Below are 23123 nucleotides of genomic sequence, written 5' to 3'. Positions count from 1 at the left end.
AAATAATGTGGACACATGGACATAGAGAGTAGAATGATAGACGATGAAGACTGGGAAGGCTGAGGGAGTAGAAGGACAGTGGAAAATAAGAAGTTACCTAATGGTTACAATGTACATCATTTGGATGGTGGATACTCTAAAAGCCCTGACTTCACCACTATGAAATCTATGCGTGTAACAAAATTACACTTGTATCCCATAAATTTATACAAAGAAAATAATGATAACCAACATTTTTGAAAACTCACTATGCACCTTACATGTATTAATCTGTTGCATCATCAGTATGCTCATGGGGTATCCTCATCTTACAGATAAGAAAACTGGGGCACAGGTTATGTTATTTGTCCAACATCACACAGCTAGTAAATAAGAGAGCTGGGATTTGAATCCAAACCATCTGTCTCCAGATCTTTGCTATAATGCTCCTCCCACAGGATCCTTACTGGGATCTTCTGTTTTTCTACTCCCTCTCCCTATGGGAATCTCCTAATTCCATGGCTTCAACCACCATCTCTGTACGGATGAAATCCCATCCATCTTTCCAGCTCCAGATGAATTAACAATATTGATAGTCCCAATATCAATCAAAGCTTACATTTATTAAGCAGCTACTTTAGCCTGGCATTAGGCTTAAATTGCTTTACATTGTCACATAGCATCTGCACATTACAGATAAGAAATTGCATCATAGAGAGGTTCTGTGAATTTCTCAAAGCCTCACAGCTATTCTGCTGCAGAGGCAGCTGATAGGCTGTAAATTCTATCAAAATAATACAAGCTACACTTAAATCCTAATGCCATGTCTCCCTCACCTTTGCAACCCCTAGCATAGCATCTTATATATAAGAGGTGTTTCAGTATATGTGGAATCAAATGTGAAAGAAGCCTGCCTTTTTGCAACTGGAGACAGAGTCCTCCACACTTCTGAGGTGGATTATTAGTGAATTTTGGTTATCCAGGAACTTTTAGCCCATATCACTGGATGGTACAGGCAAGGGTGATGATATGAGCATTGGGTCAAGAATTAGGATTCCAGGGTTGGGCATGGAGGCTCATACCTATAATCCCAAAGCTTTGGAAGGCAAGGCGGGAAGATTGCTTGAGCCAGGAGTTCAAGACCAGACTGAGCAACATAGCAAGACTCTGTCTCCAAGAAACATTAAAAAAAAAAATTAGCCAGTCATGGTGGCACACACCTGCAGTCCCAGCTACCCTGGAGGCTGAGGTGGGAGGATCGCTTGAGCTCAGGAGTTCAAGGTTACAATGAGCTGTGATTGCATCACTGCACTCCAGCCTGAGCAACAGAGCTCAAATGATAATATAGGCAGCAAGCTAGAGCAATTAGGCAAAAAGAGAGAAAGAAAAAGCATCCAAATGGGAAAGGAGGAAGTCAGATGGTGACAGAGGCAGCCAGTATCAGTGGAGGACTTCCTGCCTGACATTGTGCTCTACACAGTCCCTCATTTAGGTCATCTCCAAAACCCCACAAAGTAGGTCATACTGCCACCCTATTTCACATAAGGAAGCTTAGAGAAGTTAAACAACTTACCCAAATTTGCCCAACTAGTGTGCCAGCCACTTAACCCCAGGGGACCTGTTTCCTCATCTACAAAATAAGTCAGTGGATGATTTCTAAAGTTTCTTAGAACTCTGGGATTCTGACACACCGATGACTCTTCAGAAACCCTAACTTAAGACCTTTGCCCAAATTAGTGAGTACAGGCTTGCTGGTTAGACTAAAGACTAGTCTTAAGGAAACATGATGGTCCCCCAGACTGCCTGAGTTTTAGGAACAGGGTAACACTATTCAGCCATATGGTTTATCAGTTGGCCCTGTGAGCTAGTCATCATTTGGGCAGGCGTAAGGTTTGTGTGGCTGCTACACATTCATGTATATACAAAAGAAGAAAGTGCCTCACGCATATAATGCCAACACTTTGGGAGGCCACAGAAGGAGGATCACTTGAGGCCAACAGTTCAAGACCAGCTCGGTCAACACAGCAAGACCCAATCTCTACCAAAAAAATTTTTTTTAATTGGCCACAAGTGGTATCTCATGCATGTAGCCCAGGAGTTCAAGGCTACAGTGAGGTATGATTGCACCACTGCACTCCAACCGGGGCAACAGAAAAAGAACCTGCCTCAAAAAAATAAAAATAAAAATAAAAAATGTAGAAGGAAGGGGACTTTAAAGGAAACATCAGCCTGACATTAAGCCCAGCTGAGAATATTCAAAATGTTCTGTGAATGCAATTGCATAAGTAACTGATCACAAACCAGACCTGGCATCTTCTTGGGGGAAGGGTGAGAATTACAGGAAGAAAAATAACAGTCCCCCCAGAGACATCCACATCCTAATCCCTGGAACCTGTTAATATGTTACCTTACATGGTAAAAGAAACTTTGCAGATGTTGATTAAGATAAGAATCTTAATATGGGGGTAGTACCCTGAATTTTCCAGGGGGCCTAATATAATAATCACAAAGGTCCTCTTAAGAGGGAGGTGGAAGATCAGGAAGACGAGAAGATGCTGTGCTGCTGGATTTAAAGAAGGAGGAAGGGTCCGTGAGCCAAGAAATGCAGGCAGCTTCTAGAAGCTGGAAAAGGCAAGGAGACAGATTCTCCCCTAGAGCTTCCAAAAGAAACCAGCCCTACTAACATTCTTGATTTTAGCCTATAGAGGCTGATTTAAGACTTCTGACTTCCAGACCTGTAAGAGAATAATAAATCAGTGTTGTTTTAAGCCACTACAGTCATGGTAATTTGTGATAGCAGCAATTGGAAACTCAAGAGAGAGATCCAGAAGGATTTAGATTGCTGCCATTACCTCTCCTGAAGAGTCACACAGTTAGCCCCCAGGGCCTCTTCTCCAAAATCCTACAATTGGTCTGCACTGCCCTAAATGACCAAGTCACATACCACTCTCTACGGGACTTTGAGGCTCCAGTCAGATCTGGTGAGTGGCATCTGCCGGGGGAAAAAAGGACAAGTCACTGTCACAATAAACATGCCAACCTACAGTGTCTACAATCTGAACAGCACTTCCATGCAGGTAGTGCCCTGTGGGATTTCTGAAGGAGAGGCTATGTGGTGTAATGGGTTATCAGCTAGAACCCAGAACCCGTGTTTAACCTCAGCTCTGCCACTGACTAGCCCCAGTGAATGGAGCAAGTTACTTACCTTCTCTGTGCCTCCATTTCTTAATCTGAAAAGCAGAGATGATGCTAATAGCACTTTCCTGCTAAAGTCGTTGCAAAGCTGAAGTGACAGAAAAAAAGCAGTCCATCTGTCCAGCATCTTTAGGTCTTTGCAGAAGCAGGAACATGACTGATGACATCATCGGATGTTGGAAAGGCATGGGGAAGAGCAAAGGGCTCTTTACCAGCCACAATAGAGCCAGCCTGAGCAGACAATTTTCCAAAAAGGTGGAAATAATATCCCCCATCAAAAATGTGTTTCTAGAACCTTGCTGGTCTCTCATAAGGAGGAAGAATTTGATTCTTCTCCACTTGAATCTGAATGAGCTTGTAACTTGCTTGTAACCAAGGGAATATGATGGAAGTAGAGCCAGGTGACTTTCAGGGATGAGTGTCAAGAGGAAATGCAGCCTCATCAGCTGGGACACTCATGCTTAGAGCTTAGATGTTCCATTAAAGCAGCTTGCTTCAGGTCTCCATGTTTGAAGGAAGCCCAAACAAGCCCAACACCCTGAGACAACAGGTGAAGGGACAATGCCCAGCTAGTTCTCAGCCGTTGCAGCCCCATCCACTAACTGACTATAATCATATGAGACCATCAAGCTAGAACCGCCCAGCTGAGCCCTTCCCAGATTCTTGACCCACAGAAACCAAGAGTGATAACAAAACAAACATTTTTTTTCTTAGATTCAAGATGTACATGTGCTTGTATGTTATATGGATATTACATGCATAATGGTGGAGACTGGGTTTCTGATGTACCCATCACCCAAACATTAAACATTGTACCGAATAGGTAATTTTTCAACCCTCACCACCCCACATCCTCCCCTTTTTTAGTGGCTTAAAACAACATTTTTGTTGAGTTTGGAGATCTCTTAAAGAACTAAAGATAGAACTACTGTTGGACCCAGAAATCCCGCTACTGGGTATCTACCCAAAAAAATAATAATAGTCATTGGGCTGGGCAGAGTGGCTCATGCCCGTAATCCCGGCACTTTGGGAGGCTGAGGTGGGTGGATCACTTGAGGTCAGGGGTTCAAGACCAGCCTAGCCAACATGGTGAAACCCACCTCTCTACTAAAAGTACAAAAATTAGCCAGGTGTGGTAGTGAGTGCCTGTAATCCAAGCTACTCGGGAGGCTAAGGCAGGAGAATCGATTGAACCTGGGAGGTGGAGGTTGTGGTGAGCCAAGATCGCGCCACTGCACTCCCGCCTGAGTGACAGAAAGAGACTCTGTCTCAAAAAAAGAAAAAAAATAATAATCATTATATCAAAGCGACACCTGCACTCATATGTCTATGGCAGCACTATTCACAATAGCCAAGTCATGGCTATTGCAAAGTCCCCAGAGTCTATTGTCTCCATCTTCATGTCCAGGTCTGCCCACTGCTTAGCTCCCACATATAAGTGAGAACATACAATATTTGATTTTCTGCTTCTGAGTGAGTTCACTTAGGATAATGTCCTCCAGCTCCATCCATGTTGCTGCTAAGGGCATGATTTCATTCTTTCTTATGGCTGCATAGTATTCCATGGTGCATATATGGCATATTTTCTTTATCTAGTCAACTGTTGGTGGACACTTAGGTTGGCTCCGTGACTTGCCTATTGTGAATAATGCTGCTGTAAATGTATGAGTGCAGGTGTCTTTTTTATATAATGATTTCTTTTCCTTTGGGTAGATATCCAGTAGTGGGATTGCTGGGTCCAACAGTGGTCCTATTTTTAGTTATTTGAGAGATCTCCATACTCAACAAAAATGTAGCTTTAAGCCACTACATTTTTGTAATTTGTTACACAGTGATAGATAACTGATACACAGTCCTTGGGGCATTTCTTGGAATCTCTCCTCAATTGTTTCATGTCTCTCCCTTCTGTTTCCCATCTATTCCAGGCCTCTGCTTTCTGCTGAGCCTCTTTGGAGCTGTGACTCAGAAAACCAAAAGTGAGTGCTCAGAGCCAGAACAGAGAACTTGTGGACCAAGGGCTGGACCTGGAGCCACTCATGGTCTCCAGTGGGCTGGAGAAAAGTGCCTGTTCTGAGAGCAATATTTGGGAAGGCTTGCTCCTGTGTTTCATTATTTGTTTGCTTAATTTATCATTATATCAAATATGGATAGCCTTTTATTTATCGTTTTGTTTGATTTTTAATTTGTCTGTTTTTGCTAACCACAGTGAGTACAAAGTGGAGATAGAACAGAAAATAAAACACACAAAGTCTCATGAAGCAGACATTCTAGTGGGGAGAGACAAAGGAATGCTAATCATTATCATTCTGATTATAAACAAGTCAACCAATAATGAACAAGGTCATTTCTGTTTAACGTTATTCCCCTGGGACTCTCTCTCTAGATTCACAAGTACCTCTTGAATCTAAGAGAAAAAAAAAAAGTTTGTCTGGTTATCACTCTTGGTTTCTGTGGGTTAAGAATCTGGGAGGGGCTCAGGTCTAGGGTGGAACCTGAGAGTCTCTTTTTTTCTTCTTCTTCTTTTTTTGAGACAGAGTCTCACTCTGTCACCCAGGCTGGAGTGCAGTGGTGCCATCTCGGCTCACTGCAACCTCCACGTCCTGGGTTCAAACGAATCTCATGCCTCAGCCTCCCGAGTAGCTGGGACTAAAGACACGTGCCACTGTGGGCTAATTTTTGCATTTTTTGTAGAGACTGGGTTTCACCATGACACCCAGGCTGGTCTCCAACTCCTGGCCTCAAACAGTCTGCCCACCTCAACCTCCCAAATTGCTGGGATTACAGGCATGAGCCACCATGCCCAGCCTGGAGTGAGTGTTTAGTGGGTACAGAGTTTCAGTTTTACAAGATGAAAACAGTTATGGAGATGGTTCCACAACATTATGAAGGTATTAAATTCCACCGAACTGTACACCTAGTAATGGCTAAGATCGTAAATTTATTTTTTTTATTATACTTTAAGTTCTAGGGTACATGTGCACAACGTGCAGGTTTGTTACATAGGTATACATGTGCCATATTTGTTTGCTGCACCCATCAACTCGACATTTACATTAAGTATTTCTCCTAATGCTATCCCTCCCCACGCCCCCCACCCCCTGGGTGTGATGTTCCCCACCCTGTGTCCAAATGTTCTCGTTGTTCAACTCCCAACTATGAGTGAGAACATGCGGTGTTTGGTTTTCTGTCCTTCTGATAGTTTGCTGAGAATGATGGTTTCCAGCTTCATCTATGTCCCTGCAAAGGACATGAACTCATCATTTTTTATGGCTGCATAGTATTCCCTGGTGTATACATGCCACATTTTCTTAATCCAGTCTATCACTGATGGACATTTGGGTTGTTTCCAAGTCTTTGCTATTGTGAATAGTGCTGCACTAAGATGGTAAATTTCATATTATGTGCATGTTACCAAATTTAAAAAAAAAAAAAACAGAAAAGAAGACATTCATGGAAAAGAAGACATTCATGAGCAAGGTAGATTTTACTGGCCCATTCACAGGAAGGATGGAAGGGTATTTGCATTACAGGGCATGCCACATTTCACTCCAAAAAATTTCCGTCTGCTCCAAGTCTCACTTCATAGCCACCAGCAGCCACATTTCCTCTCTGCCAAGCCTCCCCCAGACAACAGCAAGTCCCATTCCCAGAGTTCTGGAGGCCATAAGCAGCCTGACTGAGGTCACCATGTTGGAAGGAAGACCAAACTAGCCCACACCCTGACACTACATGAAGGGACAACCTGCGCCCACCCTACTCCAGTACGACCTCATCTTAACTTGATTACATCTGTACAGACCCTGTTTCCAAATGAAGTCATATCCTGAGGTTCTGGGTGGACATGAATTTTAGGAGGACACTATTTAAACCAGTATACTCAGTATGGTAAGGTATTAAGTCCTGGAAAAGATTAAGAATAGACTTTCAGAGCTCACTCTGAACTAAGCAGAACCTGAACAGGAAGGGAAGAGATAGGAAAGAAATGAGTGGCAGAGGGTACCACCTCTCCCTGTCCCCCCAGGAGAATTGTGCATACTTAGTGGGTGACTATTTTGCTCCACTGAGTACAATACCACCTCTTCTATATACAAATGGCCAACAGGCCAGGCACGGTGGCTCACGCCTGTAATCCCAGCACTCGGGGAGGCCGAGGCAGGTGGATCACTTGAAGTCAGGAGCTTGAGACCAGCTTGGCCAACATGGTGAAACCCCATCTCTACCAAAAATACAAAAATTATCCAGGTGTGATGGTGTGCATCTGTAACCCTAGCTACTCGGGAGGCTGAGACAGGAGAATCACTTGAACCCAGGAGGTGGAGGCTGCAGTGAGCTGAGATCACACCTCTGCACTCCAGCCTGGGCGACAGAGCGAGACTCTGTCTTTAAAAAAAAAAAAAAATAGGCCAAGAAACATGAAAAAATGCTCAACATCACTAATTATAAGGGAAATGCAAATCGAAATCACAATGCAATACCACCTTACTCCTGCAAGAATGGCCATAATAAAAAAATAATAGATGTTGGCTTTGATGTAGTGAAAAGGGAACACTTTACACTATTGGTGGGAATTAAAACTAGTACAACCACTGTGGAAAACATTGTGGAAATTCCTTAAAGAACTAAAAGTAGCTCTACCATTTGATCCGGGAATCCCACTACTGGGTATCTATCCAGAGGAAAAGAAGCATTGTACAAAAAACATACTTGCACAAGCATGTTTATAGCAGTACAAATCACAATTGCAAAAATATGGAACCAGTTCAAATGCCCATCAATCAACACGTGGATAAAGAAAACACTATATATATATATATATATATATATATATATATATATATATACACATATGTGTGTATATGCAATATATATGTGTATAAATATATAATTTATATCTTATATAATTATATATTATGTTGTATATTATATTATAATATACAAATTATGTAACATATTATTTTATTTTTATCCAAAAATAAAATTCCAAAGGCTAGGCATGGTGGCTAACACCTGTAATCCCAGTGCTTTGGGAGGCCAGGGCAGGTGGATCACTTGAGCCCAGGAGTTAGAGAACAGCCTAGGCAACATAGCAAGAACCCCATCTCTACAAAAAAATTTTTTTAATTAGCTGGGCATTTTGGCAGATGCCTGTAATCTCAACTACTCAGAAGGCTGAGGTAGGAGGATCGCTTGAGCCCAGGAGGTTGAGGCTGCAGTGAGCTATGATCTGCCACTGCATGCCAGCCTGGACAATAGAGCGAGACCTTATCTCTTAAAAAATAAAGTAAAATAAAACAAAATCCAAAATGCATTAAGACTTGCGTGCACGGTCAATTGCACCCTTGTTTCAGTAGCATATTTGGGACTGTCCATCCCCGGGATGGAATACTGCAATGCCTTTTAAAATAATGAGGTTGCAGCTGGGCGCAGTAGCTCACGCCTGTAATCCCAGCACTTTGAGAGGCCGAGGCAGGCGGATCACGAGGTCAGGAGATCAAGACCAACCTGGCTAACACCGTGAAACCCCCGCCTCTACTAAAAATACAAAAATTAGCCGGGCGTGGTGGCGGGCACCTCTAGTCCCAGCTACTCAGGAGGCTGAGGCAGGAGAATGGCATGAACCCAGGAGGCGGAGCTTGCAGTGAGCCGATATCACACCACTGCACTCCGGCCTGGGCAACAGAGCGAGACTCTGTCTCAAAAAAAAAAAAAAAAAAAAAAAAAATGAGGTTGCTCCACATGTGAAGCTGTGGAAAAAATTCTCAGGCAAAATTTTACATGAAAACCAAAGAACAGAGCAGTATGTGTAATATGTTCCTATAACGTAAAGAAAAATGATGCACATATGTGTGTATATGGATTGGTATTTTTCTGAAAAGTATACAATAAGCAGTAGACAGCTCAGAATCTGGGGTAATAAGAGACTTATTGTTGGATTTTTTTTCAATTCTGTGAATTTATCATTTTCATAAGTAATGAAGCCTAAAGAAAAAATACCTTAACATATACCACGATCAGAATCTCCCTCCCATGGTACCATACAAATTCAAATTTTTTTGTCCTTTTGTTTTAGAGACAGAGCCTCACTCTGTCGCCGAGGCTGCAGTGTAATGACATGACCACGACTCACTGCAGCCTCAAACTCCTGGGCTCAAGCAATCCTCCCGCTTCAGCCTCCAGAGTAGCTGGGACTACAGGCACATGCCACCATGACTGGCTAATTTTTAAATTATTTTTTATAGCAATAGTGTCTTGCTATGTTACCCAGGCTGCTCTCCAACTCCTAGCCTCAAGGAATCCTCCTACCTGGGCCTCCCAAAGCACTGGAATTACAGATGTCAACAGGCGTGCTCACCATGCCTCTCACCGTGGTGCGATCACAATGGCGCGATCTCGGCTCACTGCAACCTCCACCTCCCGGATTCAAGCCATTCTCCTGCCTCAGCCCCCTGAGTAGCTGGGATTACAGGCATGTGCCACTACGCCTGGCTAATTTTGTATTTTCAGTAGAGATGGGGTTTCACCATGTTGGTCAGGCTGGTCTCAAACTCCTGACCTCAGGTGATCCACCCGCCTCAGCCTCCCAAAGTGCTGGAATTACAGGCACCTGCCACCACACCCGGCTAATTTTTGTATTTTTTAGTAGAGACGGGGTTTCACCATGTGAAAATCCTCACCAGGCGGAGTGAGCCACCACGCCTGGCCACTCTAATTTTTTAACGTGCTTAGATCTCACAAGAGGAAAAGGCACAGGCTTCCTCAGCCTTGAGAGGCCCTGCCCAGAGGCGAGGCCTCATTATTATTATTATTTACATATATAATATGTCAGGGGAGTGGGGGGCTGGGGGAGGGATAGCATTAGGAGAAATACCTAATGTAAATGGGTGCAGCAAACCAACGTGGCACGTGTATACCTATGTAACAAATATATATATTTGTTTTGAAATGGAGTCTCCCTCTGTCACCCAGGCTGGAGTGCAGTGGCACAATCTCGGCTCACTGCAATCTCCGCCTCACAGGTTCAAACAATTCTCCTGCCTCAGCCTCCTGAGTAGCTAGGATTATAGGCATGCACCACCACGCCTGGCTATTTTTGGTATTTTTAGTAGAAATGGGGTTTCAGTATGTTGGCCAGGCTGCTCTTGAACTCCTGACCTCAGGTGATCAAGAGGCAGGGCCTAATTATAACAGGAGAGTTTGTGACCCCAGTCCATTTAACCTGCCTCTCTTCTCCCTGCAGCTTCCTGTGCTAAGTGCCCCCCAAATGCTTCCTGTGTCAATAACACTCACTGCACCTGCAACCATGGATATACTTCTGGATCTGGGCAGAAACTATTCACATTCCCCTTGGAGACATGTAACGGTAAAGAAGTATTATTATTTTTTATTATTATTATTTTATTATCATTATTATTAGAGACAGGGTCTTGCTCTGTTGCCCAGGCTGGACTGCTGTGGCATGATCAAAGCTCACCGCAAGCTGGACACAGTTGCTCAAGCCTGTAATCCCAGCACTTGGGGAGGCCTAGGTGGGCAGATCACTTGAGGTCAGGAGTTCGAGACCAGTCTGGCCAACATGACAAAACCCCATCTCTACTAAAAATACAAAAATTTGCCGGGCATGGTGTGGGGCGCTTATAATCTCAGCTACTCAAGAGGCTGAGGCATGAGAATAGCTTGAACCTGGGAGGCAGAGGTTGCAGTGAGCCGAGATTGCACCACTGCACTCCAGCCTGGGCAACAGATCGAGACTCTGATCAAAATAAATAAAAACACTCACTGCAGCCTCCAACTCCTGGGATCAAGCCTCTCAAGTGGCTGCAACTACAGGCGTGCCACCATGCCCAGCTAATTTTTTTTTTTTTTTTTTTTTTTTTGTAGAGATGGATTGTTACTATATTGTCCCGGCTGGTCTCAAACTCCTGAGCTCAAGCAATCCTCCCGCCTCGGCCTCCCAAAGTGCTGGGATTACAGGCGTGAACCCTGCACCTGGCCAGGGATAATTTGCAAGTTATCCAGAAGCAGGAGCAAAAGGGAGGCAAAATGGGGGCTGTTTTGGAAACTTGGCCGTTCATTTAAGATAGTTTCTTGTTTCAGCCAGGCATGGTGGCTCGCGCCTGTAATCCCAGTTCTTTGGGAAGCCAAGGCAGGTGGATCACCTGAGGTCAGGAGTTTGAGACCAGCCTGGCCAACATAGTGAAACCCCGTGTCTACTAAAAATACAAAAATCAGCCGGGCGTGGTGGTGCATGCCTGCAATCCCAGTTACTCGGGAGGCTGAGGCAGGAGAATCGCTTGAACTCAGGAGGCAGAAGTTGCAGTGAACCCAGATCCTGCCATTGCACTCCAGCATGGATGACAGAGCAAGACTCCGTCTCAAAAAGAAAAGATAGTTTCTTGTTTCATTTCGCGACTGCCCTCTCAGTGTTTCCTGGGATCCCCTCCCAAATAAAGTACTTATATTCTCGTCTCATTGTCTGCTTCCTGGAGAACCCCACCAAAGTCAATGAAGAAAGCGAAAAACCAAGATAACCATTACCTAAACTGATTTGTCTCGGAAAGCCAGGACAGACCATGGGGGAAAGAGCACAACTCCTGACACATAGTAGCTGCTCAATAAATCTTTGCTGAATGAATGACCCAATTGCTTCTTTGTGTTCCAGACATTAATGAATGTACACCACCCTATAGTGTATATTGTGGATTTAACGCTGTGTGTTACAATGTCGAAGGAAGTTTCTACTGTCAATGTGTCCCAGGATATAGACTGCATTCTGGGAATGAACAATTCAGTAATTCCAATGAGAACACCTGTCAGGGTAAGAACATTTTTGTCCTCCTGCCTTCCTTCCTCTGTTGTTGTTTTTTTGTTTGTTTGTTTTGTTTTGTTTTGTTTTGAGACAGAGTCTCGCTCTGTAGCCCAGGCTGGAGTGCAGTGGCTGAAACCTCCGCCTCCCGGGCTCAAGCGATTCTCCTGTCTCAGCCTCCCAAGTAGCTGAGATTACAGACGTGCACCACGACGCCCAGCTAATTTTTCTTGATCCACGCTCCTCATCCTCCCAAAGTGCTGGGACTTTTTACAGGCGGCAGTCCTTCCTCATTTTTTATTGAATCTAACATCAGAAAAGACGTATTTGTTGTGGGACCAGGATGTGGTTTTTATTTTCTGCAGGGAACTACAAGGAAAGAAGGAAGTTCAAGTTGAGGGAAATAAGGGGGTGAGAAAGGGAACTATAGTTTGGAGATGGAGGATGTGACAAGGTGGTGATTGAGACCACATTCTTTGAATTGCAAGGAAGAGAAACTCACTCAGGCTAACAGGCCAAAAAATGGGTTTATGAAAACGATGCGTAGCCATGCCCTGCAAGGACAGGAATGCAGCTGGGCTTCTGGAATTAACTAAAACTGGGAACTCAACACCCCCAGGGTGCATCTCCTAGTCCCTGTCTCTAATCATCTTTGGATCTGCTCCTTCCTTCTCTTTCACTGCAGGCTGGCTTTCTCTGCTTCCTAGACCACAGGACAGAAAATATGACCACCGGCTGGGAGGGGTGGCTCACGCCTGTAATCCCAATACTTTGGGAGGCCAAGGCGGGTAGATCACTCGAGACCGGGAGTTCAAGACCAGCATGGCCAACATGGCGAAACCCCATTTCTACTAAAAATACAAAAATTAGCTGGGTGTGGTGGCGGGTGCCTGTAATCCCAGCTTCTCAGGAGGGTGAAGCACAAGAATTGCTTGATCCTGGGAAGCAGAGGTGGCAGTGAGACAAGATCCCGCCACTGCACCCCAGCCTGGGTGACAGAGTGAAACTCTGTCTCAAAAAAAAAAAAAAAAAAAAAAGGAAATATGACCACCAACCCGCTCCAGATCTTACCATTTTTTTTGCCCCAACCAACCAAAGAGAGATCAGTTGACTCTCTCTCTGAGACCCCATTGCAAATTCTTTGGGAATGAATACATTGGCCCAGTTTGAGCCCCATGTGCACCCGTGGATCCGTGTCCAGGGAGAGATACTGTGTCATGTAAACATGACCACTCCCATGGAAAACATGGATGGGAAAGTCTATATGAGAAAAGAGATGAGACTTGGTAGACCACCCATGAGGTATTGACTACCGTAGGGATAATAAGAGAGAAACTTTTTTTTTTTTTAAGAGATGGGGTCTCACTCTGTCACCCAGGCTGGAGTACAGTGGCACAATCATTGCACACTGCAGCCTTGAACTTCCAGGCTCAATCCTCCCACCTCAGCCTCCTGAGTGGCTGAGATTATAGGTATGAGCCACCATACCTGGCTAATTTATTCATTTTTTGTAGAGATGGGGTTCTCACTATGTCGCCCAGGCTGATCTCAAACTCCTGGTCTCAAGCGATCCTTCTGCCTTGGCCTCCCAAAGTGCTGGGATTATAGGCATAAGCCACAGCACTCAGCCATAAATCTGTCTTTTACTAAGCAATGCGCACCTCTATTGACAGTGTAGAAGCAGACTGTGATTCTACCTGGGTTCTGATGTTAATCTCTTAAACTTGTCTTATTTTACAAAAAAGGAAAATGCCTTTGGTTGTTTTCCTAATGTTAAGAGGTCTGCACCGTCCTTTTATAAAGACTGAGCCCATTTGGGGTTCGTTATTACCAAGGCTGGCAGCTCTAAGCAACAGACACCCCCACCCAATGATAAAGTGTGCAGCTTTGGTTCAAAAGGGCAGTTTTCTACAATAAATACGGTTTCCTATAACAAACATATTCTAGACTCAGGGTTGTAAGTCAAAGTTCTTGAACTCTTAAGATAAAATGTTCAGTATTAAAACAAAGCTGTTTGTGCTTTTAAGCAAATAGACTGAGCTGAAAACCAAAATTTAGAATAAGTACAGATTTAACCTCAGCATGATGATAAAAGATATGTAAACATTTGCTAGACTTTCCTTGTCTTTTTTTTTTTTTTTTTTTTTTTTTTCAGAGGCAGAGTCTCGCTCTGTCTCCCAGGCTGGAGTGCAGTGGTGTCATTTCAGCTCACTGCAACCTTTGCCTCCTAGGTTCAAGAGATTCTCCTGCCTCAGCCTCCCGAGTAGCTGGGATTACAGGCACCCGCCAACATGCCCAGCTAATTTTTGTATTTTTAGTAGAGACAGGGTTTTGCCATGTTGGCCAGGCTGGTCTCGAATGCCTAGGCTCATATGATCCTCCTGCCTCAGCCTCCCAAGCAGCTGGGACTACAGGTGCACCCTTCCTCAAATTTCTAAAGCAGAGATGTCCTCACTAAGCACAGAAACCAACACAAAAGTCTTCATTAACAGCTGATGACCAGACACTGATGCTTCTGTTTCGGTTATCATTCCCAGCCAGGCTGACTTTAAACACAAGAGGCTTCTAATTTTCTGTTTTCTCGGACATTTCAGTTCTAATTTCCAGTCAAGATGGAATAAAAGAATTTGGAGGCCAGGCACGGTGGCTCGCGCCTGTAATCCTTGCATTTTAGGAGGCCAAGGCGGGTGGATTGCCTGAGGTCAGGAATTTGAGATCAGCCTGGCCAACATGGCGAAACCCCATCTCTACAAAAAATACAAAAAAAAAAAATTTAGCCAGGTCTGGTGGTACACACCTACAGTCCCAGCTACTTGGGGGACTGAGGTGGAGGATTGCTTGAGCCCAGGACATTGAGATTGCAGTGAGCCAAGATTGTGCCACTGCACTCCAGCCTAGGCAGCAGAATGAGACCCTATCTAAAAAAAAAAAGGGAAAAAAAAAGCCAGGTGCGATGGCTCATGCCTGTAATCCCAGCCCTTTGGGAGGCCGAGGCAGGCGGATCATGAGGTCAAGAGTTTGAGATCAGCCTGGCCAACGTGGTGAAACCCCATCTCTACTAAAAATACAAAAATTAGCCATGCCTGGAGGTGCGTGCCTGTAATCCCAGCTACTCAGGAGGCTGAGGCAGGAGAATCACTTGAACCCAGGAGGTGAAGGTTGCAGTGAGCCTAGGTCGCACCATTGCACTCCAGCCTGGGCAACAGAGTGAGACTCTGTCTCAAAATAAAAATAAAAAATAAAAAATTTTTTAAATAAAATTTAAAATTTTTTAAAAATCAACAAACAGCAGATAAAGACTATGAATTCAGGCTTTTACCTTCTAGGTGCAAAGTTGCTCACCCCATTACTTACCCCACCTGCCCACCCCTCTGCCTGGTCACTCTCAGTTCCAATAGTAACTCCATCATGATGTCTTTTGCAGACACCACCTCCTCAAAGACAACCGAGGGCAGGAAAGAGGTGAGTGGAGGCTGATCCCCAGACCCTTCCCAGGTAACAAACATCAGTAACAAATATTTACAAAGCCCAAAGTGAGCAAATGGGGATGGATTTAGGGCAAAATATATATTATATATACATATATAATGTATTATTTAGGACAAAGAATATGTTATATATAAATACATAATATATTATTACCATATAATATCATATTACTACACAATAGTACATATTCATATATTATATACAATTATATATTATGCATAATTGTGGTATGTATACATATATCTATAGATAGATAGATACAGATATACCATTAGGTATACCACTATATATGTATCATTATCCAGCTCACTATAGATATATCACTATATATACAGTTGAACAACACACATTTGAACTGCGGGGATCCACTTACACGAGGACATTTTTCAACCAAATGTGAATCAAAACTACAGTATTGCCGGGCTTGGCGTGGTGGCTCACGCCTGTAATCCCAGCACTTTGGGAGGCCGAGGTAGGCATGTTACTTGAGGTCAGGAGTTCGAGACCAGCCTGGCCAACATGGTGAAACTTCATCTCTACTAAAAAATACAAAAATTAGCCAGGTATGATGGCACATGCCTGCAATCCCAGCAACCCCAGAGGCTGAGGCAGGAGAATCACTTGAATCCAGGAGGCGGAGGTTGCGGTGAGTGGAGATGTTGCCACTGCACTCCAGCCTGGGTGACAGAGCAAGACTCCGTCTCAAAAAACAAAACAAAACAAACAAACAAACAAAAAAATATATATATATATATGTATATATAGGCAGGATGCAAAACTCACAAAGAGGAAGGACTGACTTTTCATGAGTGAGTTCCATGGGTCTTGAGTATGCATGGATTGGATTTGAGCATATATGGACGATCCTGGAACCAATGCCATGCGTATACCAAGAGGGCTCTGTATCTGTATCTACTTATATATATATATAGATATAGGTATAGATAGACACACACAGTGTGCATGTACGTACATACATATGACAGTGTGTGAGTGTGTGTGTATGAGCGTGTGTGTGTTGCCATCTAAAGACAGGAATCTATCCCAGACCAAGAAAGACAGGCCAAGAGAGAGTATATTAAGGCCTGCTGCACTGCTGCAAAAGACATCCAAGTATCCAATGGTATCCATTATTGTCTCCGGCCAACTGACGGCATTTATATAAATATGTGATTACATCATGTAATCAATCCCTAGACTGTGAGCTTTTTGAGGAAGGGAATAAGACCAACCCCAAATTAGGAGTTCAAGGAATGATCACTGAAGTAATGAACAAATAAAGAATCAAGTAATCAGGCCGGGCATGGCGGCTAATGCCTGTAATCCCAGCACTTTGGGAGGTGGGTGGATCACCCGAGGTCAGAAGTTCAAGACCAGCCTGGCCAACATGATGAAACCCCCATGTCTACAAAAAACACAAAAATTAGCCGGGCATGGGGGCGCATGCCTGTAATCCCAGCTACTCAGGAGGCTGAAGCAGGAGAATCACTTGAACCCAGGAGGCAGAGGTTGCAGTGAGCTGAGATCACGTCACTGCACTCCAGCCTGGGCAACAGAGTAAGACTCCATCTCAAAAATAAATAAATAAATACACAATGATATAGGAGTTAAGAAGAAATTACTTAGGCAGATGGTGAGGGTACGGAAGTCCTCAGTGAGGTTTTCCTTTTAATGAAGAGCAGCCCCAAATTTTCTTTTCTAACAAAGAGCAGCCTGTAAAATCAAGCTGCGGACATAGACAAGCAAGCTGGAAGCTTATGGGTCAATGCCAGCAGCTGTGCCAATAGGAAAAGGCTGCCTGGGACTAGACATGATCAAAATGGCAGCTCCATCTTCCCTTCTCTTTGCCAGTCACGTGTACAGTAAGGAGCAGACAAGATGGTACTGGCCAAGTGGGTAGGGCAACCAGCCTTCCCCGAGCAGTAAGTAAATGTCGCACCTGGCCCAACCAATCTGTGGGCCCTACATAATTCAGACACCGCCTCCTCAGCCTGACTATAAAATCTAGTGCCTGAATATAAAATCTAGTCGGTGGGCAGGATTTTGCTTTCTTTCGGGCATCCCTCTCTCTCGCAAGGGAGAGAGCTGTTCTACTTTCTTTTTTTTTTTTCTTTTCTTTTTTTTTTTTTTTTGAGATGGAGTCTCACTCTGTCACCCAGGCTGGAGTGCAGTGATGTGATCTCGGCTCACTACAACATCTGCCTCCTCTGCCTTCCAGGTTCAAGCGATTCTCCTGCCTCAGCATCCCAACTAGCTGGGATTACAGGCACGCGCCACCATGCCCGGCTAATTTTGTATTTTCAGTAGAGATGGGGTTTCACCATGTTGGTCAGACTGGTCTTGAACTCCTGACCTCAGATGATCCACCCCCCTCGGCCTTCCAAAGTTCTGGGATTACAGGCATGAGCCACCGCACCCTGCCCTCTTTTCTTTTTCTTTTGCCTATTAAACCTCCACTCCTAAACTCACTCCTCGTGTGTGTCCATGTCCTTCATCTTGGCGCAAGATGACAAACTCTGGGTATTTACCCCAGACAGTGACGCTGCTTCAATAGTGGCAACCACTCCCTTGTTGCGACAGTGACAACCGAAAATGTCTCCAGCCATCGCCACATGTGCCCTGTGGAGGGAGTAGCAGAATCACCCCCCCGTTGAGAACCACTGGTCTATTTCTAACAAACTTATCACTACCTTGTTGGCAAAAAACGTTAATAATAACTAACCCAATCAGGCACGGTGGCTCACTCCTATAATCCCATCACTTTGGAAGGCCAAGGCAGGAGAATCGTTTGAGCCCAGGAGTTCCAGACCAGCCTGGGCAACATAGCAAGACCCTGTCTATACAAAAAAAAAAATTAAAAAAATTAAGCAAGCATGGCGGTGTGCACCTGTAATCCCAGCTACTCAGGAGACTGAAGCATGAGAATCACTTGAACCCAGGAGCTGGAGGTTGCAGTGAGCCAAGATCCCACCACTGCACTCTAGCCTGGGCGACAGAGCAATACTCTGTCTCAAAAATAATAATAGTGACTCACCCTTACATAGCTTTTACCAGATACAGACACTGTCCTAAAAGAAGAGCATCTGTTAACTCATTTAATCCTCCAGAAAAACCCTTTGAGTTCCTTTTCCTGTCGTGGGGCACAGAGTGATTGAGTGACTTGCCCAAGGTCACAAAGCTGGGACATGATGAAGTGCCAGGATTTGAACGTGGTTCCTCCAGCTCCAGAGCCTGCTTTCTCATGCTTTCTACTGTTCTTTTGGATATGGGACTTACCAGATTACATTTTTAAAAAATGAAAATTCTTTATGTCTTCAAAGCTGCAAAAGATTGTGGACAAATTTGAGTCACTTCTCACCAATCAGACTTTATGGAGAACAGAAGGGAGACAAGAAATCTCATCCACAGCTACCACTATTCTCCGGGATGTGGAATCGAAAGTTCTAGAAACTGCCTTGAAAGATCCAGAACAAAAAGTCCTGAAAATCCAAAACGATAGTGTAGGTAAGACAATAATGAGGACTGATACACCCTGGGGACTGGTTAGCAGCTGGGATCTGGGTTAGGCAATTAGAAAAAAAAAATTGAATACACCACATGAGTCCCTTTATGTAAATTACAAAAATTTATATAAATTCTAGAAAACGCAAACTTATCTAGAGTGACAGGGAGGGGCAGGAGGGAGGGGTGGCAGAGGCATGAGAAAATCTGGGGAAACTATTAGGGGTGATGGAAATCTTCCTGCCTTGATTGTGGTGTTGATTTCAGAGGTGTGTGCACCCAACAAAACTCACCAGATTGTACACTTTAATATGTGCAGTTGGTTAGACATCAATTATACCTCAATAAAGTTGTTTATTCAGAAGATTGCCAATAGTTTCCAATCCCAGGTCTGGAATTTTCACTTAAATGTAGTTTGAGGACCAGGCATGATGGCTCACGACTGTATTCCCAGCACTTTGGGAGGCTGAGGCGGGAGGGTTAATTCAGCCCAGGAGCTCAAGACTGGCCTGGGCAACATAGCAAGACCCCCATCTCTTTAAAAAAAATTTAAAATTTGCCAGGTGCAGTGGCTTGTACCTGTGGTCTCAGCTACTTGGGAGGCTGAGGGAGAGGATGGCTTGAGTCCAGGAGTTTGAGGGTGCAGTGAACTATGATCATGCCATTGCCACTCCAACCTGGATGACAGAACAAGAACCTGTCTCATTAAAAAAAAAAAAAAAACAGGTTTTGGGCTGGGCATGGTGGCTTACACCTATAATCCCAGCACTTTGGGAGGCCAAGGTGGGTGGATCACTTGAGGCCAGTAGTTTGAGATCAGCCTGGGCAACATGGTGAAACTTAATCTTTACTAAAAATACAGAAATTAGCGGGGCGTGGTAGCTCATGACTGTAATCCCAGCTACTCCAGAGGCTGAGGTGGGAGAATCACTTGAACTGGGGAGGCAGAGGTTGCAGTGAGCCGAGATCACATCACTGCACTCCAGCCTGGGTGACAGAGCAAGACTCCATCTTAAATTAAAAAAAAAAAAAAAAAAAACACACACACAGCAGGCTTTGAAAAAGTCAGTGCCTATTCTTCTTGGAAAACTGGAATCTGGATACTTTGGTTCAAAATTAAACCATTTTCCAGATTGCAAGTAAATCTCATCTCTCCTGATTTTGCCACGTCCTAACTGTTTGATCTGAGACCAGTGCCCTCACCTCATTGGGCTTCATTCTCCTGTCAATAAAATGAGGATAATATTAGCTGGACATGGTGGTGTGCAAATGAGGTCCCAGCTACTTAGGAGGCTGAGGTGGGAGGATCGCTTGAGCCCAGGAGTTCGAGGCTGCAGTGAGCTGAGATTGCACCACTGCACTCCAGCCTGGACAACAGAGTGAGAGCCTGTCTCAAAAAAAAATTTTAATAGAGATAATGAAAGTGCATGTAATGCACCTAGGACTAGGATCCCTCAGAAGCTAAACGACTCAAACTTTTAAGAAAGAAGAAAAACTACGGTAGTAATTGCTATAATTATGATTATTCTATCTTTCCACTCTTTAATATTATGAAATATTGTCAAAATAGTGTCATTCTTTTTTACAGGAAACACATAGTTTAATGTAGAAAATATTAAATAATATAAAAACAAGTCAAATTGAGGTTTGATAAAAATGACAAAGAGTAACAAGCGATAATATAATGGATGATGAAATTAACATTGTGGGCAGGATGAGGTGGCTCATCCTGTAATCCTAGCACTTTTGGAGGCTAAGGCAGGCGGATCACTTGAGGTCAGGAGTTCGAGATCAGCCTGGCCAACATGGTGAAACCCTGTTTCTACTAAAAAAAATTAGCCAGGCGTGGTGGTGCATGCCTGTAATCCCAGCTACTTGTGAGGCTGAGGAAGGAGAATCGCTTGAACCCGGGGGACAGAGGTTGCAGTTAGCTGAGAGCAAGCCACTGCACTCCAGCCTGGGCAAAAGAGCAAGACTCCATCTCAAAAATAATAATAATAACAATAAATTCACTTACACTGAGCTCAAGAATTTCTATTCATTAAAACGTACTAAATGAATGAAACAGTAGGCCAAAAACATTAATACATAATTAGAGTAAATACTTGTAAACTTTTCAAAAACTGAGAGTCAATATTAGACAAACCAGTAGTAGTTTCTAGAATGTCATTAATGTCATTCTTTTTTTTTTTTTCTTTTTTTTTTTTTGAGATGGAGTCTCATTCTATTGCCCAGGCTGGAATGCAGTGGCATGATCTAGGTCACTGCAACCTCTGCCTCCTGGGTTCAAGCAATTCTCCTGCCTCAGCCTTCCTAGTAGCTGGGATTAAAGGTGCCTGCCACCATGACCAGCTAATTTTTGTGTATTAGTAGAATGGGATTTCACCATGTTGGCCAGGCTGGTCTTGAACTCCTGACCTCAAGCAATCAACTGGCCTCAGCCTGCAAAAGTGCTGGGAATTCAGGCATGAGCCACTGCACCCAGCCATAAAATAGTGTCATTCTTGATGTGCTGTTTTGTTGCTTGCTTCTTTTTTTTTTTAACCTTTTAATATGCACAAAAGGAAATAGGAGAATAAAATCCCTGATGCACCCATCACCCAATTCAACGATTTCCATCTCACAGCCAGTCTTGGGTTGTCTGTTTTTAAGATACATATTTTCATGAGCTTAACATTTTTTAGCTTTATTAAGGTGTAATTGATAAAGAAAATTGTATATATTTAAGGTGTACAATAGGATGACTTGATATACATATATACTGTGGAATGATCACCACAATCAAATTAGCTAACACATCCATCACTCACATGGTTACCTTTTTTCTCATGAGTTTTTCTTGATTGCAATTCATTTGTGACTTTATTTTTATTTGAAGCCCTGGTTCCCCACCACAGAGATATATCATCACTTATTTATTTATTTACTTACTTACTTATTTTTGAGACAGAGTCTCACTCCATCATCCAGGCTGGAGTACAGTGGCGTGATCTCAGCTCACTGCAACCTCTGCCTCCCCGGTTCAAACTATTCTCGTGCCTCAGCCTCCCAAGTAGCTGAGATTACAGGTGCACACCACCATGCCCAGATAATTTTTGTATTTTTAGTAGGGATGGGGTTTCACCATGTTGGCCAGGCTGGTCTTGAACTCCTGGCCTCAAGCAATCCACCTGCCATGGCCTCCCAAAGTGCTGGGATTACAAGCATGAGCCACTGTGCCCAGCCCATATCATCACTTATTTAATCAATCACCTCTTGTTGAACATCTAGATAATCCCCCATTTTCCACCATTATCATCTAAGCTGCTATGAACTTTCTTGTAGCTAAATCTGCCCTCCATCCACAATCGTTTTCTGAGAATAAACTCCTAGAAATAGAACTGTATCTTCAAAGGTGTATGCTAAGAGCTGTTAGTTAAGAACTTGGTTTCAGGAATTAGAGTCTTACCTAACTTCTGACTTCAGTTTCCTCATCTATAGAGTTGTCCCTGATGAAGTTATAGGTTTATAAGGTGACATGTGTAAGACTCTTAGCTCAGTGCCCGACACATCCTAGACATTCAGTATATGTGAGCCATTTATGTTGCTATGAACATTTTTTTTTTAGAGGCAGCATCTCACTGTGTTGCCTGGGCTCAAATTCCTGGGCCCAAGCAATCCTTCTGCCTCAGCCTCTTGAGTAGTTGGGACTACAGGCATGCACCACCATGTCCTGTTCCTATGCATATTTTTAAAGTTTCTTACAATATCACTAAGCCTGCCCATTGCTTTTCTTACCAGCTATTGAAACTCAAGCGATTACAGACAATTGCTCTGAAGAAAGAAAGACATTCAACTTGAACGTCCAAATGAACTCAATGGACATCCGTTGCAGTGACATCATCCAGGGAGACACACAAGGTATGCCTGATGGCTGCATTCAGAATCCTTCACACAGAGCCATGTCATTGTGTGAGTCATGGGGAAACAAGCCCACTGGGCTCTCCCCTCATGGGCTTTTTACCCTCAAACTACGATATTGGAGATTTTCCCTTTAAAAAAAAAAAAAAGACATTTTCCCAAAATGGAGGTTTTCTGTTATTCAGTATGGGAGGGACTTTGCAATTTGGGATGGTGGGGGAGTGCTGTTCTGCCTGTGTCCCGGTTTGGGTTCACC

At 43.7% G+C, this 23123-nt stretch overlaps 1 protein-coding gene across 6 annotated transcripts in view; it reads left to right on the top strand.

The window, feature by feature from the left end:
* The window catches only part of ADGRE3 (adhesion G protein-coupled receptor E3), a 74728-nt gene that overhangs the window by 893 nt on the left and 50712 nt on the right, over positions 1–23123 (top strand). For 3 of the 6 annotated variants that reach the window (XR_001753772.2, XM_047439546.1, NM_032571.5), the window contains exons 2-7: positions 5100–5150; positions 10412–10534; positions 11834–11989; positions 15402–15439; positions 18787–18970; positions 22748–22867. Coding sequence is in view for 5 of the 6 variants with exons in the window: in XM_047439546.1 (XP_047295502.1) it covers positions 5100–5150; positions 10412–10534; positions 11834–11989; positions 15402–15439; positions 18787–18970; positions 22748–22867 (672 nt within the window). In the remaining variant the exon portion in view is untranslated. The remainder of the gene's footprint in view (positions 1–5099; positions 5151–10411; positions 10535–11833; positions 11990–15401; positions 15440–18786; positions 18971–22747; positions 22868–23123) is intronic. The other 3 variants (XM_011528374.3, NM_001289158.2, NM_001289159.2) reach the window with 3 other exon arrangements.

Source organism: Homo sapiens, chromosome 19, assembly GCF_000001405.40.
Source record: "Homo sapiens chromosome 19, GRCh38.p14 Primary Assembly".
Lineage (NCBI taxonomy): Eukaryota > Metazoa > Chordata > Mammalia > Primates > Hominidae > Homo > Homo sapiens.
This window is presented reverse-complemented; position numbering and strand designations above follow the sequence as displayed.